General features: G+C 42.7%; 1 pseudogene, besides 1 other annotated feature; it reads right to left on the bottom strand.

The window, feature by feature from the left end:
* Nucleotides 1-17,476: part of a centromere (Linear centromere model derived predominantly from reads generated in PMID: 17803354. This region does not represent an actual centromere sequence, as long-range ordering of repeats and unmapped WGS contigs is not provided by the model. For details of model production, see http://arxiv.org/abs/1307.0035.) that runs on past both edges of the window.
* Nucleotides 14,061-17,375, bottom strand: AGGF1P10 (angiogenic factor with G-patch and FHA domains 1 pseudogene 10; annotated as a pseudogene).

Raw genomic sequence — 17,476 nt, 5'->3', positions numbered from 1 at the left:
AGGGAGGGAGCAAGGGACAGAGAAAAGAAGGCAGAGAGAAAAGCGGTCTTCTGCCTCCAGGACCAGCAGGACCTCGCACTCCGGAAAAATGTTGGGTGCCCAGTGCGGGCTAAGTGCTCGGCCCACAGCCGCGTTGGTCTGCGGGGCGCTCACCGGCCCTCCGGATAACCAGCCTGGGTTGCTTCATCCGGGAGCGATTCAGACGAATTTCGTCTCCCAGGGAATGAGAGAATTGCCCAGAGAGCAATGAGCCGAAACTCGGGTGGTTGTCCATTTTTCATCCACATGGTTCACAGATGAGATAGCCCCAGGTTGAGCCTGCAAAGGAGCGCGAGGCCGATAGTCCCGTCCACACAGGAGTCACACTCAGGCCGACTGAAGCTTGGTTTCGGATTCCACGTTGCTTTGCCCTCTGCAAGGGGGCCTGTTGCTCACGTGTCTTACTGGGCTTAAGTCAAGGTGTTATCAGGGCTGTATTGCCCCCACCACCGTCCACCCGCCTTTCTCCAAGGCAAAGCACCTCCAAGTAAACCCACACAGGACCGACGGTCAGAGGCAGAACAGGGCTGGGGAAATTCGGTACCCACATGTAAAAAGAATGAACCTGGGCCATTCACTTATACCATAAGAAAAAATTAACTAACTGGATCAAATACCTAAATGTAAGAGCTAAAACTACAAAATTCTTAGAACAAAATATAGGGGAAACATGTCATACACTGGATTTGGCAGTGTTTTTTTTTTTTTTTTAACAGGACACCCAAAACACAAGAAACAAAAGAAAAATAGATGAATCGGAATCTATCCAGAATACGCAAAGAACAATTCAGCAACAATAACACAAACTACCTGTTTAAAATATTGGCAAAATCCTAAGCAGACATTTCTCTAAAAATTTTGTAAAGTGGCTAATAAGCACATGAAAAGATGCTCAACAAAACTCATCATTAGTGAAATGCAAATCTAACCCCAAATGACATATCGCTTAATACCCATCAGCATAGCTACTACCAAAAGAAAGAAAACAAAACAGAAAATCACAAGTGTTGGTGAGGATGTGGAGCAATTAGAACCCTTGTACACTGTTGGTGGAAATGTAAAATGCTACAGCTGCTATAAAATAACAACATAGTAACTAAAAAATTTACATGTAATGTCACCATACGATCCAGCAATTTCACATCTGGGTATGTAGCAAAAGATAGGAAAGCAAAGACAGAAAATAATACACATACACCTAGGTTCACAGCAGCATTACTCACATCACCAGAAAGCTGTTTGAATTACTCAAGTGTTGTTTGAATTACCATCAATGAATAAATAGATAAAATGTGATTTATACATACAGTGGAATATTATTCAGCTATGTAAAATAAGGAAATTCTGACACATGGTATGTCATGCATGAACCTTAAGGACATTGAGCAAAGTGACACGAGCCAGTCATAAAAGAACAAATACTGAATCATTCCAATTATGAGATACTTAGAGTAAAGAAATTCTAGAAACCCAAGTAGAAGAGTGGTTCCTAGAAGCCTGAGGGGAGTAACAAGGAGCTTATTTAATGGGTATAGAGTTTTGTTTCTGCAAGTTGAAAGAAGGTCCGTATGAATGGGAATGATAGTTGCAAAACAATGTGAATGTAGTTAATTTTTCTGAGCTGCAAACTTACAATAGCTAAAATGGTTAATTTGATGTACACTTTACCACAAAGTAAAAAAAAAAAAAAATTAAATAAACAAACTATAGCTATCTGCAATATCATGAATTAATACCATAACTATAATGTTGCATAGAAGAAAGTCGATGTAAAAGTATACATATTATACAATTTCACTCATATAATATCCAAAAAGTGAACGCAACTGAGGTTCTGGCTTCCAGTAATAATTAAGTAAAGTAATTTGTTGAATACTTCACAGATAACTATAACAAAGCTCTTTGGTCACAGGGCTGCAACACTGCAATCTCAGCATGCACCAGGCTCAGGGAGAGTGCGCTAATATCTGGAGGAAGGGACGAGGCTCCGCACTTCTTGCTGGTCTTGCTGGGAGATGCAGTCTCATAAACGCTCCCAGTCCTTTGGTCACAGGGCTGCAGCACTACAATCCTAGCATGCACCGGACTCAGGGAAAGTGCGCGTCCCTGGAGGAAGAGGCAAGGCCATGCGCCCCTCGGTGGGCTTGCTGGGAGATGTAGTCTCATAAACACTCCCAGCCCTTTCATCACCGGGCTGCAAGACTACAGTCCCAGCATGCACACAGCTCGGGGACAGTGCCCATTACTGGTGGAAGAGACTGGACTGTGGGTGCCTCCTTCTACTTGCTGGGAGATGTAGTTTCATAAAGACTCCCAGACTTTCCGGTCCCGTGGCTACAGGACTACCATCCCAGTATTCACCGGGGTCAGGGACAGTGCGCGTCACTGGAAAAAGAGGCGGGGCTGTGTGCGTCTCCCTAGGTTTGCTGGGAGATATATGCTCATAAACTCTTCCAGCCCTTTCCTCAAAGAGCTGCAGGACTACAATCTTAGCATGCACTAGTCTCAGGGACAATGCGTGTCACTGGAGGAAGAGACCGGGCTGTGTGCGCCTCCCTAGGATTGCTGGAAGATGTATTCTCATAAACACTCCCAACCCTTTGGTCAAAGGGCTACAGGACTACAATCCCAGCATGCGCCAGGCTCCAGGGCGAGGCGCAGAACTGGAAGAAGGGGCAGAGTGGTACGCGCCCCACCTAATATGCTGGGAGCTGTAGTCCGTTAACTGCTCTCAGCCTGTTTGTCGGTAGGCTTCAGAACTATACTCCCAGCATGTACCAGGATCCGGGGTGCATAGCCCTGGAGGGAGGGTTAGAGCGGTGTGGACTTCCCAGAGTCCAAAGCACTCCTGAGTTCTTATGCTATGCCAACTCTTTGCAAGGAGAGTGAGTACACAGGTGCACCTGGAGGGCAGGTCTGGGCTGGGCATTGAGGAGGGTATTACCCTACGAAGACACCTTCCCTTTTCCCAAATGGCCGGTTTGTCCTCACCCGATTGAGCCTATCCTTCTCAGGTTCCTCTTTCAATTGCACCCAGGGTTCTTTCCAGAGCATTACGTCTTCTGCAGCCCTAGGCGCTGCCTTCTTTCCTAAACTGCTGTGGAAACTTTCCTGATGTCTGAGACACAGTCGATTGTGCCGCAACCCTCATTTTTCTCTAGCCAGAGCATGCACTTAACCGTTTTTGAGAGAAATCTTTCACCTGGCCTGCTTGTGAGCAGCTTCAGAGCTCTGCAGGGGGTGACAAGGGCTGTGGCTTCCTGGAAATGTCACTCTCAAAGTCGCCTTTTTCACAACTGTGAAAGTCTAGTCATCAGAAGGTTAATTATTGGGTCGCACAAAATCTGCTAAGACTCCGAGGCGTGAGTCTTGTGAGCCATTTTCATCAACCCATTTAAGTGGACATGCTCCAAAATGCAACCTGAAGTTGCTGACTATTTAGGCATTTTACACTTGAAATTAATGGTCTCATCTCAAGTCAGGCCTGGCTTGCCAGTGACTCGGAGCCACATATGGGACCTGATACCTCAGGAACAGATAGTGTTCCAGCTTTATGGGAGCAACTTTTAAGATGTGGAGCACTTGGGGTCATTTGAAACCCGCTATCATCAGTAGGGACTTTTACTTATAAAAAGCATTTGCATTTTGATTTTATCTGTCTTCAACCTGACCCTTTGTTTATTTTAACAGTAAAAAACACATTCCTGGGTGGAGATTTAAGATGCTACTGAGACATGCAATGTATGCACAAATGTGTACAGCTACTGCACTGTGCACCCAGAAGACCAGTCAGAACATGCTTTCTGCAACACTTCTTTCCACCTTCTTATGAATAATCATGCAAAACTCCCATAAAGAGGGTTTCTCCAGCAATAATTAGCTCTGTCTCACTTTTATGAGCAGGCTGCCCTGGAATCTCTTTCTCAGACCGTACCGTCTATTCTGCACTTAATTTTCAAAATATTCTCTTTTTTTGCAATAAATTATGCTGTACTTCTTTTGCTGTGTGTCTCTTAAACTAAGAAGATAAGAAACAAGGTATTACATCAGCCATCAACATTTCTGGTACCATGACCTGGGGAGAGTTTTGTCTGCTTCATTAATTTCAGTTTCCCTTTTCTTGCAGTGAATACTATGGCAGTTCCAGACTCCCTGGTTAACTATCGCTGCTTGTTCCAGTGCTATTTCAGTAAAGTTCTTGGGGAAACGTTTTTAAGTCAACTATATTCTTTAGAGAGAGAATATATGTCCGCTCTCCTTTTGGCTGCTGCTTCTGTGGTATCGATAAATACACTAACCACATGTGTTGCCCTCAATATTTCATATTTGGGCTGCTTTGCCGCTTAGTTTCACATCTTTCTGGCCACAGTTCAGACTCCGCTTATTGTTTGCTGTCCCTTCAGCAATACTCCATCGCCACCTAGTGGTCATTGTAATGTATTTTTCTGGTCAGGTTTTCTGTTTACAAAAATGTTTGTTTTGTTTTGAGCAGCACATTAAGAGAACCCTGTCCCTTCAGGCTTTATGCATTTCCCACCTCCTTGAAATTGTTCTCCAGCAGGCTTTCTTTGCTGAACAAAAGATGCACAGTCATGCAGATGCCTAGTCGTAGGGATTGCATCTGAGCATTCCAGATGTTGTAATTGGGCATCACAAATGACAAACCAGTGAATTAGGGCAAGGCTTGTTAGCCAGACATCTGCCCCCCAGCCCGCAGTGGGGGTCATCTCGGTAGGGCTGGAGATGTCCACCGCTGGGGGTAGATAGGATGGTGTATGGCAAATGCCTATGACCTCCTAGAGCTTCAGTTAATGGGGTTTCAAGGGGATGCGCTGGACACCTTGGTGGTTCCACTTGGCTCATGGGGATGCCCACAGCCTCCTGGACTTCAGTAAATGTTCTGTCGTTGCAGGATTCTCTCGGCACCGTGGGAGCCGCTTCCTCTACTGTCACTGAAACATCCCTGGGATGTATATCTAAAAATTAGAACAGCTTTTGGCTAAATGAACTTAGAAAAAAGAAAACCTTATCTTCTTTTGTAACACTATTTTGCCTGCCTACAGATTAGCTGACAAAACATGGCTGGAGAATGAGACTGTGAACTTTAACTCCATCCTACAGCTAGATCTTTTCTGTAATAATCAGGGAAAATGGTCTTAAGTATCCTATGTGCAAGCCTTTCTGGCCTGACAACAAAATCCAGCTCTATGCAGCACCTGTAGGCTAAAGCCTAGTAAGCCAGAAAGCCCCTCAGAACAATTGGAAGATCATCTCTTATTAAGGGGAAGGGACCCCAGACCCCACAGCCCAACACCAGCTCCAGACAGGGGCCCTCAGGGGCCTACACCTCCTTTAGAATCCCCAGCATCCCCACACTATCAGAGTCTTCTGTAGAATCTAAGCTTGTTTCACCTCCTCCTTATGCTCCTCTCTATTGGCCTTTGCCAGGTACAATAGAGACCAGCCCAGCTGCAGTTACTCACAGTGGGACTTCACACCATCCAGGGCCAGAGAAATTGCTCCCCTTACAGAAAGTCCCAAATGGAGAGAGGACCATCAGAGTGCTTGTTCTACTCTCAATAAATGATCTAATCCAATATAAGCAACAACTCTTATGGCCCTCAGACAACTTCAGCGCATTTACTGAAGGCTTCCAGGCTCTAACTTTGACCACCATTCAACTTCACCATCCATAAATGGACCCAATGACTGCTGCCAACTCAGCTGCACAAAATTTTGCTTATTAGCAAAAAAATAGAAAATACTTAAAACATTTGTTGCTCTCACCATTTTAATGCAAAATACTTTTGCAGCATAAATGTCACCGTAAGGTGGAGCCTTGGGAATCCAGTATAAACTATCTCAGAAAACCTCAATGGGTCCGCAACAAGCAGCAGAGGGCCTCAATAGACTTCAACAACGTCTGGACTCCATGGCCACTGTAGATCGACAAAAGCAAAGAGCCTGGGATCTTCTCCCAGCCGGGCAAAGAGGAAAATGTTTATATCTAAAAGAACAATTCTGTTTTTGAGATCAATCAGCCCGGTTTAGTCCAAGAAAATATTAATAATATCATCACCCAGGCAGACAAAATTGAATCTCTAGGAACTTCCATGGGAACATGAAAGCAATGTCTATTACCTGCCTTACTTTCTTTAATAGTAACAGTCATTACTATACTTTTAGCTTTTACTTTTGTTCCAATTTTGTTTAAAATGTTAACTGATTCCTTGCTCTCTTGCTTATAGCAACTCCATGTTTGCATGATTGTTTTGCAAGGCTTTCAACATTTGGCTGTCAACAACTTGCCCACTGGTTCCACAATTACATGGTTTACACCCGGTTAGATCACACAGGAAGAAACTTTAGGGCCCAGACTAGGCAGAAATATCACCCACTCATCAGGAAACAGCTCCAGAAAAAGTGACCTAGCCCCTCAATGTCCAATATGATTATGACTCTAAGATCTCTTAGGGGGAAACTGAGGCAGAATAGATCAGAATAGATAGTCAAGAAAATGACCATGATCTCGGGTTACAGAAATGTGGGGAAAAGAAAGAGAGATCAGACTGTTACTGTGTCTCTGTAGAAAGAAGTAGACATAAGAGACTCCATTTTGCTCTGTACTAAGAAAAATTCTTCTGCCTTGAGATGCTGTTAATCTGTAACCCTAGCCCCAACCCTGTGCTCACAGAGACTTGTGCTGTGTTGACTCAAGGTTTAATGGATTTAGGGCTATGCAGAACGTGCTTTGTTAAAAAAGTGCTTGAAGGCAGTATGCTTGTTAAATTTCATCACCACTCTTTAATCTCAAGTACCCAGGGACACAATACACTGTGGAAGGCCACAGGGACCTCTGTCTAGGAAAGCCAGGTATTATCCAAGGTTTCTCCCCATGTGATAGTCTGAAATATGGCCTCCTGGGAAGGTAAAGACTTGACCATCCCCCAGCCGGACACCCATAAACTGTCTGTGCTGAGGAGGATTAGCAAAAGAGGAAGGCCTATTTGCAGTTGAGATAAGAGGAAGGCATCTGTCTCCTGCTCATCCTTAGGCAATGGAATGTCTCAGCGTAAAACCCGATTGTATGTTCTATTTACTGAGACAGGAGGAAACCGCCTTAGGGCTGGAGTTGAGACATGCTGGTGGCAATACTCTTTTTAATGCACGGAGATGTTTGTATACATGCACATCAAGGCACAGCACCTTTTCTAACCTTGTTTATGACACAGAGACATTTGTTCACATGTTTTCCTGCTGACCCTCTCCCCACTATTACCCTAGTGTCCTGCCACATCCCCCTCTCCAAGATGGTAGAAATAGTGATCAATAAATACTGAGGGAACTCAGAGACCAGTGCCGGCATGGGTCCTCTGTATGCTGGGCGCTGGTCTTTTCTTTCTCTATACTTTGTCTCTGTGTCTCTTTCTTTTCTCAGTCTCTCATTCCACCTGATGAGAAACACCCACAGGTGTGGAGGGGTAGGCCACCCCTTCAATGAAACTGTGGTGACTGTACAGCCAACACAATGAGCCTTAGCATTCGCATTGTAATTGGGCTCATTCAAGCAAAGCTATCTTCATTAAGGACTTTCTGTTCTAGAGAGCATGTGCATTTTGATTTTACCTGTCCTCAAACTTAACTTTTGCTTATTTTAATAGCAAAAAATACACCCCCCAGATGGGCACAGTGGCTCACACTTGTACTCCCAGCACTTTGGGAGGCTGAGAAGAATGGATTGCTTGAAACCAGAAGCTCAAGACTAGACTGGCCAACATAGTGAAACCCCATCTCAACTAAAAATACAAAAATTAGCCAGGTATGGTGGTGCATGCCTGTAATCCCAGCTACTCAGGAGTCTGAGGCACGAGAATGGCTTGAACTCGGGAGGCAGAGGTTGCAGTGAGCAGAGATTGCACCACCACACTCCAGCCTGGGCAACAGAGCAAGACTCTGTCTCAAGCAAACAAACAAAAATACACTCCTGGCTAGAGGTCTAAGATGCTAATGAGACATGCAAAATATGAATAAGCATGTACAGCTACTGCACATGTGCACCCAGAAGACCACTCAGAACAGGCTTACTAGCAGCTCCTCTTCCCCCCTCCTTATTAATAATAATGTAAAACTCCCATAAGGGGGTTTCGCCAGCGACAATCCACGCTGTCTCACTCTTATGAGCAGCCCGCCCTAGAATATCTCTCTCACGGTGTACTGTATTATGCACTTAACTTTCAAAAATTTTGTTTTCTTTTCCAATAAATTATGCTGTACTTCTTTTCTGTGTGTCTTTTGTTTAAATTGTTATAAACTAAGAAGACAAGGACCGAGGTATCACATCAGCTCTCAACACAGCAATAAATCAGCCTCCTTCCTGTGGGCATAGTCCATGCAGAAAAGCAGTCACATCACCTAGGTGCTGGACCCAGAGATACATCACAATTTATCCTATGCACAAAGTTAAAGTAATAGAGGAGAGTCATATTAAATAGTTTCTGGGCCCAGGGATATGTCACAATGGCTCCTGTGAGCAGAGATCAGGCAGAATAATCACATAACCGGTGTGCTGGACACAGCAATAAGCCACCCTTTCATCTGTGGGCATGACCCAGGCAAGAAAGAAGAGTCACAGCATTTAGGTGTTTCCTGCAGAGGTACGTAACAATCTCTCTTATGGGCAAAGCCCAGGTAAGAGAGGAGAGTCACATCTCCAAGGTGATTAACATAGAAATATGTCACATGAAACTTTTTAGACAGGGCCCATACTGGATCTTCTTATCTTCCAGATGTTAGGTCCAGGGATATGTCAGAATACCCAAAATACACAGGGCTTAGTCAAAAAAGGAGAGCCACATCACCTAGGTGCTGGGTCTAGACATATGTCACGTCTCTTTTACGGGAAAAGCTCAGGTGAAAAAGCAGTTCACATCAAATAGTTGTTAGGCAGAGAGATATGTCACGTTGCCTCCTGCTAGGCCAAAGACTCACATCACCTTGGTGCTAGGCCCGTGTTCACGTATAAATATTCAACCAGAGTTGAAATGGTGGGTCATTTCTAAGCCCAGCTTATAGATAAGGGAGGAGTCTCCTATCCTGACCTAGTTAATTGTAATGACGTTGACTCTCATACCCGGGCTTAATGCCACAGGTACGATTACGGGTCCCTACCAGCAGGAAGGTCTCAAAGTTGATTGCAACTCTCATTCATACTGTATAGCGCCATTGGGTAGTACACAGAGATTGCTAACTGGGCCGAGCACACAGGTGAGATTGTGGCACTCATATGCACACCCAGCCAACAGTAAATATTCTCATCCTCTCACAGGAACACAGGTCACTGTTGAGGTTCTGAATCTCACACCTGTAGTCAGTCAAAGGTGGGAAAAATTGACTTATATATGGATACTCATGGGTTGGTGACTCTCAGACCAAGATTCAACATAACTGTGAGGCTGTGACTTCAGTCTGCAGAGGAATTGAGGCTGTCATGTACAAATCCAGTCTGTTGTTGAGATGGTTACTCGTGGGCTTAGACCCAACATACAAGAGGTGTTGAATGTCATGCCTACAACTGTGACAGTTGTGGGATTGTTAATCTCATTCCCGGACCATTCTGCAGGTTTCATGATGAAATTTCCCAGTGCCTAGCACCTGAGTGACTTGACGCTCTTGCATGGACCCAGCCCACAGATGGAATATTAACATATTGCTGGATCCAGCACCTTGAGGGTGTAACTCTATTCTCCTTCCTTGGCACTGCCCACAGTGAGCATTTTGACATATCGCTAGACCTTGCACCCAGGCGATGTGAGTCTTCTCTTCTGTCTTGGCGCTGCCCACAGGAAGCGTTGTTCTATATAGCTTGGCCTGGCACCCAGGTTATGTGACTCTCCAGCTTGTGCCCATATGGGACACTGTGGTATATTGCTGGGTCCGCTACCCAGTTGATGTAACTCCTCTGCCTGGGCCCTGCCTACAAGGGGCACTGTGACAGATCTCTGTGCTCACTGGCCAGGTAATGTGATTCTCTTTTCCTTTCTGGTCCCTTCACACAGAAGGGATTGTGACATGTTGCTGGGCTTAGCACCAAGTTGATGTGAATCTTCTGCCTGGATCAAGTTCACAGAAGGCCTTGTGACATACTTCTGTGTCCACTACCTATTTGATGTGACTCTCCTCTCTCACCTGAGCATTGCCCACAGGAGAGATTGTGACATATCTTTGGGCAAAGCACCAGGATGATGTGACTCTTCTCCCTGCCTCGGTCATGCCCACAGAGGGAAGTGTGACTTATAACTGGGCACGGCACACAGGTGAAGTGATTATTCTGCCTGGTCCCTACCTACAGCAGTCATTGTCAAATACCTCTGGGCCCATCATCTAGACTATGTGACTCTCTACTTCTTCCTAGGGCCTGCTCACATAAGGATTGTGACATATTACTTTGCACAGTACCTACATGATGTGACTTTTCTCTCATGTCTGGGCTCCATCTTGGAGATGAGTGTGACACACAGCTAGGCCTGGCCCCTAGGTTATGTAACTTCTCCTTTTTCAAAATCCTACCCACCAGGGGCATTGAAACATCTCTCTGGGCACTTCACTTAGGTAATGTTACCCTGTTGCCTGGAGCCTCCCCTCAGGTGGTATTGTGACACATTGCTGGACCCAGTACCTATGTGATATACTCTCCTTTCTTGCCTGGGCCCTGTATACATTGTGTATTGTAATATATGGCTGGGTTCAATGACTAGGTGGTGCAATTCTTATGCATAGGCCCTACCCACAGGAACATTGTGACATTTCTTTAGCTCTGACTCTCCTCTTCTGCCTTAGCCCTGCCAAAAACAGAGGTGGTGACATATGACTGGACCTAGCAACCAGCTAATATGACTCTCCTCTTTTGCCTGCACCCAGCATATTTTGGGTACTGTGATGTATCATTTATCTCAAAGCCTGCAGGATGAAAGGCTCCTGCCTGAGCCCAGCCATCAGTAAAAATTATCATTCTCCCACATGGACACAGCCCATAATTGAGGTTCTGAATCTCACACCCAGAGACAGTCAAAAGTTGGAAATTTGGCTCTCATAAGTGGATGTTGTCCACAAGTGGGTTTGTGACTCCCTGACCAAGATCCAAAACACTTGTGAGGCTGTGACTCCACTAAGATAACTCAATTTTCAAAAGGCATTAAGGCTCTCATGGAAAAATCCATTCCACCATTGAGATTGTGACTTATGTACATACATGCAACATACAGGAGGCCTTGACTCTCATACCCAGAACCGGCATTTATGTGGGATTGTTAATCTCACCCAGGGACCTTCCTGCAGGCGAGATTCTCATGTACACCTCTATGTGGGATTGTTAATCTCATCCAGGGACCTTCCTGCAGGTGTGATTCTGATGTACACCTCTATGTACGTTGCAGTGAGCCGAGATCGCACCACTGCACTCCAGCCTGGGCGATAGAGTGAGACTCTCTCAAAAAAAACAACAAAAAAAAAAACAAAAAAAACCAGGTAATGACCTTGCTTCCTGCCTCTGCCTGAAGTTAGGCGTCCCTGAGCTCTGCTGGCACCTAGCAGTCAAAGTGGATGTGGTCAGGGGTCAACTCTCAGCCGAGCACAGGGCCCTTCCCCTCTCGCTACCCCATACAGGTGAAGCTGCTGGTCATGGCTAACCCAGAGCTGCTCTATGTCCCACAGTTCCCTGCTGAACCAGTAATATTTATGGGGTACAGTGTGATGTTTCACTGCATCATACTACATGGTACAGTGTGATGCAGTGAAACATCACAGTGTACTCTGTAAACATGTATAATTATCATATGTTAATTATGATGTTCCTCTGCATTATACTATACGGTAGAGTGAGATGCAGTGAAACATAACATTGTACTCCGTAAACACATATAACTATCATGTGTTAATTACATGATGTTTCACTGCATCATACTACATGGTACAGTGTGATGCATCACACTGTACTCCACAAACATGTAAAATTATATTAATTATATGATGTTTCACTGCATCACATTGTACCCATATACACTGTACAGTGATCCAACCAGAGTAATTAGCATATTTAACACTTTAAACATTTATTTCCTTCTGCTAATAAAGTTCAAAATCCTCGCTTCAAGCTATTATAGAATAAACGTACATTATTATTGGCTATAGTCATCGTGCTGTGTAATAGAACACCAGGATTTATTCTTCCTAACTGTAACTTTGTAACCCGGTGACAAAGCTCTCCCCACTCCCTCATCCTTCTGCCATCTCTAACCTCTGGTAACCACCATCCTACTGTCTACTTCTATGAGATGGACTTCTTCAGATTTCACGTGAGTGAGAGCACATGGTCTTTTTCTTTCTGTGCCTGGCTTATTCCACTTAACATAATGTCCTCTAGGCTCATCCATGTTGACACAAATGACAAAACTTCATTCTGTTTTACAACTGAACATTATTCCTGTGTGTGTGTGCGTGTGTGTGTGTGTGCGTGTGTGTGTATAACATTTTCTTTATTTATTCTGTAGATGGGCACTTATACACTGTTGGTAGGAATGTAAATTAGTACAATCATTCCCATTTCTCTAGGGAGAACAGTATGGAGGTTTTTCAATAAATTATAAATAGAACTACCATATGATCCAGCAATCTCATTGCTGGGTTTATATCAAAAGGAAACAAAATAAGCATGTCAAAAAAGATAACTGCATTCTCATGTTTATTAAGCAGTATTCACAATAACCCAAACCATTATTTCTTCTAAGTATTTCTTAATTTACCTTTTTTTCATATATTACACCCTAAACTTTTAAAGGATTAGTGTCTGGTTTCCAATTTCTGAAACTTATGAGTCACTGATTCTTTGACTGTTGCCTTCCTATTTAGAGAGTCTGGTAAAACAATTAAATGCTTTTTATTTCTTCTCAATCTAATCTTCATATATAAATACATTTATATTTTCTATTAATTTGCCTTCTATAATATATACGACTACATTAATTGTGATCAGCATTTCACTTTACTAGCCCTGTTTTTGGCTCAGCCTATTTTAATATGTCATTTGTATGTTGTACATTAAATTGTTTTACAACACTTTCAATACTTTACTTTTCATTTGCCTCTTTTCCAAAGATAGCTTGACAAGCTCGTAGTTTCTTTCCACATTATTTTGGTTTCTTGTTTCTCCATTATATTGACTTAAACATTTAAATATAAATTCAATATCTGAGATTTATGTGCCATATAATTTCTTCTGATGCTTCACCCCAGTAGCTCATCTCCTTGTGTGCAACATAATTTATAATTTAATCCTCACATATGGGAGACACCACATTCCAATGCCTGCAGGCAGTTTCTCTTTGTTTATTCCATTTGCCTTGTCAGAAGGGAACAACCCACATGGACCTGACATTCTTGTAATCAGACGCATCTGAGTGGAGCCCTGGCTTCTTAGGTTGATTACTTCTCGGGATCATTACCTTTATTTACTTCCAGTCCTGGGAAGTTTTCTTAATTTCCTTTCAACTATATTACACATTCTGTGAATTCTTGTAACTTCTTGGTGATTTTAATTGTCTGCATTAGGTTTTTAAAGTATATTATTTTTCTGAAAAGCAGAAATATCCATAGTTGCATACATGAGTGAAATATTTTACATAGATTTTCTATGGCATCTATCATCATGAGAAATTCCAAGTTTTTCATTTGAAACACCCCTCTCATCAATAGACCATATTGTAATAATTTGTAGAATGTGATTACTTTTATACCATTAGAAAATTAATTATATATTATGTACATATTTTTGAAATACTCCACTGCAATAAATAGTATATGGTCAGAAGCATTGTTTTCTCTAACATAAAACTAATATGAGTAAAATTATCTACCTGAATTCAGACCTTTCGGCTTCAATGGCCATTCTGTCTCATTAGCACTTCTCTGATCCATAAAATACATCATTTGTATTTTTTGTTTAATTCATAATTTATTGAAATGAATAATTTAACATTATAAAGTTTTATGGCAATTTAGGACATTTTCAATAAATATACTGAGCTTGAGGCCCTGGCTAAATATTCCTTTTGCACTCGAAATCAGATTTTTCTGGCACAACTTCATTGCCTGCAATGGTATTTATAAAAAGTATGAATGCCAGCACATGAACTATTTCAATACTGTACTCATTTGTTCATGTACAAACATTTCATTAGCTATGAAACAAACCAAATACAAATGCTGAATGTATAGTATATATCAACAAATTCAGATTCTTCACCGAAGAAAACAATAAAAGACAAATTTTCTGTGACATGTCACCTGTTCATTAGTTCTTTAATATGATTTAGACTATTCCAAATATAAGAAAATATACGCATCACTATTCATGTTGTCTCAATATTTTTTATCTAGGTCCTGAAGGGCATAAACAAGAATGTATATTGTCAGATTTATTTTTGTAGAATTTAGATGTTTCTTTTGCTGTATTTTCTGTGCATACTACTATGAATATATGGAGACAAGGACAAATGAGCATTTAAGTGGTTATAAGAATTTTGCTTATATGGCTAATTGCTTATATGGATGTTGTAAATGACAAGATAAAATAGTAAAGTTTGATAAACTTATCTGTGCCCTGTGAACTTTAGTTCACTTACTGTATAAATTAATTCAGTCACTAATAATTAGTTTAAAAAGTGTTTTTTAAAAGCTGCAAACCACATTTTATTACACATTTCTGAATCAGGAAGGGGTAAACCATGACACAGCTTTCTTGTGCCACTGACTTTTTGGGGGAGAGACATTCTGCAATAAGAGTTTCCAAACTCTATTTATAAAAAAGCTTGAGTTTTCTTTTGTGATTAACCTTCACTCCTCAGTCCCTTTTACCCAAGGAATGGTTCCTAGGTCATCTTTTTGAAGTTTAGTTTCTGGAAAGTTTTCAGCAAACCTCTCCTGTGCTTTGTCCCAGTTGTTGTTCTTGTTGTTGTTGTTCTTGTTTTGGAGAAGGTGAGTCTCTTTAATTGAGGATGGTTTGTCTGTCTGCGATCCTGCATGTATTTGCCGAAGCTGAAGCTGTATTGGAGTTTTCATTCTTCCACCATCCTTCCCCAGGCCTTCTCCTGTTTTCAACACATCTTTTTCAACATCTTCTGACCTTTGTCGCCATCAGTAATTTCAGAATGAACAGATGCAGGAGCATCATCTCTTTGGAAATTTCCTTCACTTCCAATCTGCTCCCTATGTTTTCCAGCTCTATCTTTACATTTTTGATTCTCCAGTATCTTATCATCTATGTAGTCTGTATTCTGTAAACCATATTTTACTCATATATTTTTAAAATCCTTTTCTTCTTTCCAACTAGTTTCCTTCTTAGTTAATGATGGACCAACAAATGATTCATCTTTTTTATCAAGGAAAAGGTGAGCTCTAACCTGCCCTGGTTCACATCCAACACAGCTATTACTGCCAGGGTGAATGTAATAAGATAACACAGTGTCTCCAATTTTCACTTTATCTCCATGCTCAGGTTCATAAGGGTCACATTTAGTTTTCAGCTGAACCATCCATTTTACATTAACAATTGTTCCATTTTGACTGCCTGATCCAAAAGGACATAACTTTGTAAGTCATGGTCAAAATAAATTTCTTCATGAAACTTACACCAACTTCAGGGATTAGAAGAGTATGCTCCATGTCATTTTCTCTTCCAATTGTAGCAGATTTTACAGCAGTAATGATGCAGAATGATCCTGTCTGTAACACAGGTGATGTAATGACAATTACTCTCATATATGAGGGCCACACTTTTTCCTCATCTTCCTCCTCAGTATCTTTTGCAGTTGCATTGCCTTTACTGGTAATACCTTCATCATAACTACCCTCGGTCTGAGAGTCTGTAATTTCGCCTTCTTCTGTTTCACTATCAGTCTCTGTCATTTTCTCATCCTTAAAGATGAATTGAGATGTTTTCATTAGGAGGAGATTCCATAGTATTTCCACTAACTGGAACAGTGAATTTTGGGGGATTATTTTTGTGATGAATGATTATTTTGGCTTTTTTTTTTCAGATTTGTGAAATTGTCTTTCCCATTGCAGCTTGTATGTTCAACACTGAAGGCTTCTTGATCCTCTGAATTCAAATCCTTTTCCTCTTTTTTTTTTTTTTTGTAGATGAATCTGGATCCTTTCTTTTCTCAATTTTTTTATTTTTGTTTTGTGCTATAAGTCTGATAATGTGGCAAAACTACTTGAGAATGAAACCGATAGCTACCACTTTCCACATCACAGTAGTAATAAATTAAATCATAATATATTTGATTCTCAGAATCTTAATAGAAACCAGTGCTGTGGTCAAAATACAGTCCAGTATTTTCATCATAACTAAATCCAGTCTGTGATAAAGCCGCTTCTGCTGCAGCTCTCAAACTTCCAGCTAATGATGAACCTTCTAAGGACGTATCTTGTGCTGCTAATGCAGATGCTGGCTCCTGTGAATTTGAGGCAAATGACTCTCTTGTCTACATTTAACATTTGGTGTCCTATCAGTACCAGGGTAAGCATCATTTTCTATTTATAACTGGTCGTTAGAATTCAAAGCAAGAGTTTCAATATCCTGATCTTGCTGATTTGACAGTTCAGTCACTCACTTTATTTGGAAGACTAACATCATTAGAGTAGGTCTGATAATAATCTGAGATTGACCAAGGAGCATGGTTCTCTGCGAGTACTTCTACATCAGACTTTTATTATCTCCATTTATCCCACAGCGGAGTACATTACTGAGTTCTTCCAGCTGCGTGCGGAGCTCCTGGCGGTTGCTCGTGTCGCTCTGAGCAGCCGTCCTGTGCGAGGCCATAGCTTCTCCCGTTCCCGCACCTGCCGCCCGCAGCTCAGCGTTCGGGTTCCAGCTTCTCCGTCCTCCTTCTCCGCTGGGCCAGCTCGGGCTCGGCGAGGGGGAGGAGCGGCCACAGCGAAGGCGCTGGCTGCGGGTACCGGCCCGAGGCTGTGAGTTCGGGCCCCAGACGGCTGCGGCCCCGGAGGGGCTGCGCGGGGCCGAAGCGGGGGCCGGCTGAACCACAGCCACGGGGGCGCGCGGGCAGCCACAGGCAGCCTCCCCGGCCAGGAGGCCCCGAAACGCGGAGCCTAACGGGGCTGCGGCAAGAGCAAGGGGACGGCGATGGCCCTGCCGGATCTGCGCCCCCTGGAATCCTGGGAACGACTGTACCTTCCCCAGCCACGGGGGCCGCAGGAGGAGCGTTGAAGTCCAGGGGCCAGAAGCGCTCCGGCAGTTCCCGAGTTGAGCTGGAAACAGTGGCCAAGCGCGTTTTAAATTGAGTTTCCCTGTGGCTAGATATGACCTGCTGGTTACTCTTATTTTTTTCTCCATTCGTTGAGCTATGGTTGACAAATTGAAAAG

This window comes from Homo sapiens, chromosome 20, assembly GCF_000001405.40.
Source record: "Homo sapiens chromosome 20, GRCh38.p14 Primary Assembly".
Taxonomy (NCBI): Eukaryota; Metazoa; Chordata; class Mammalia; order Primates; family Hominidae; genus Homo; species Homo sapiens.
This window is presented reverse-complemented; position numbering and strand designations above follow the sequence as displayed.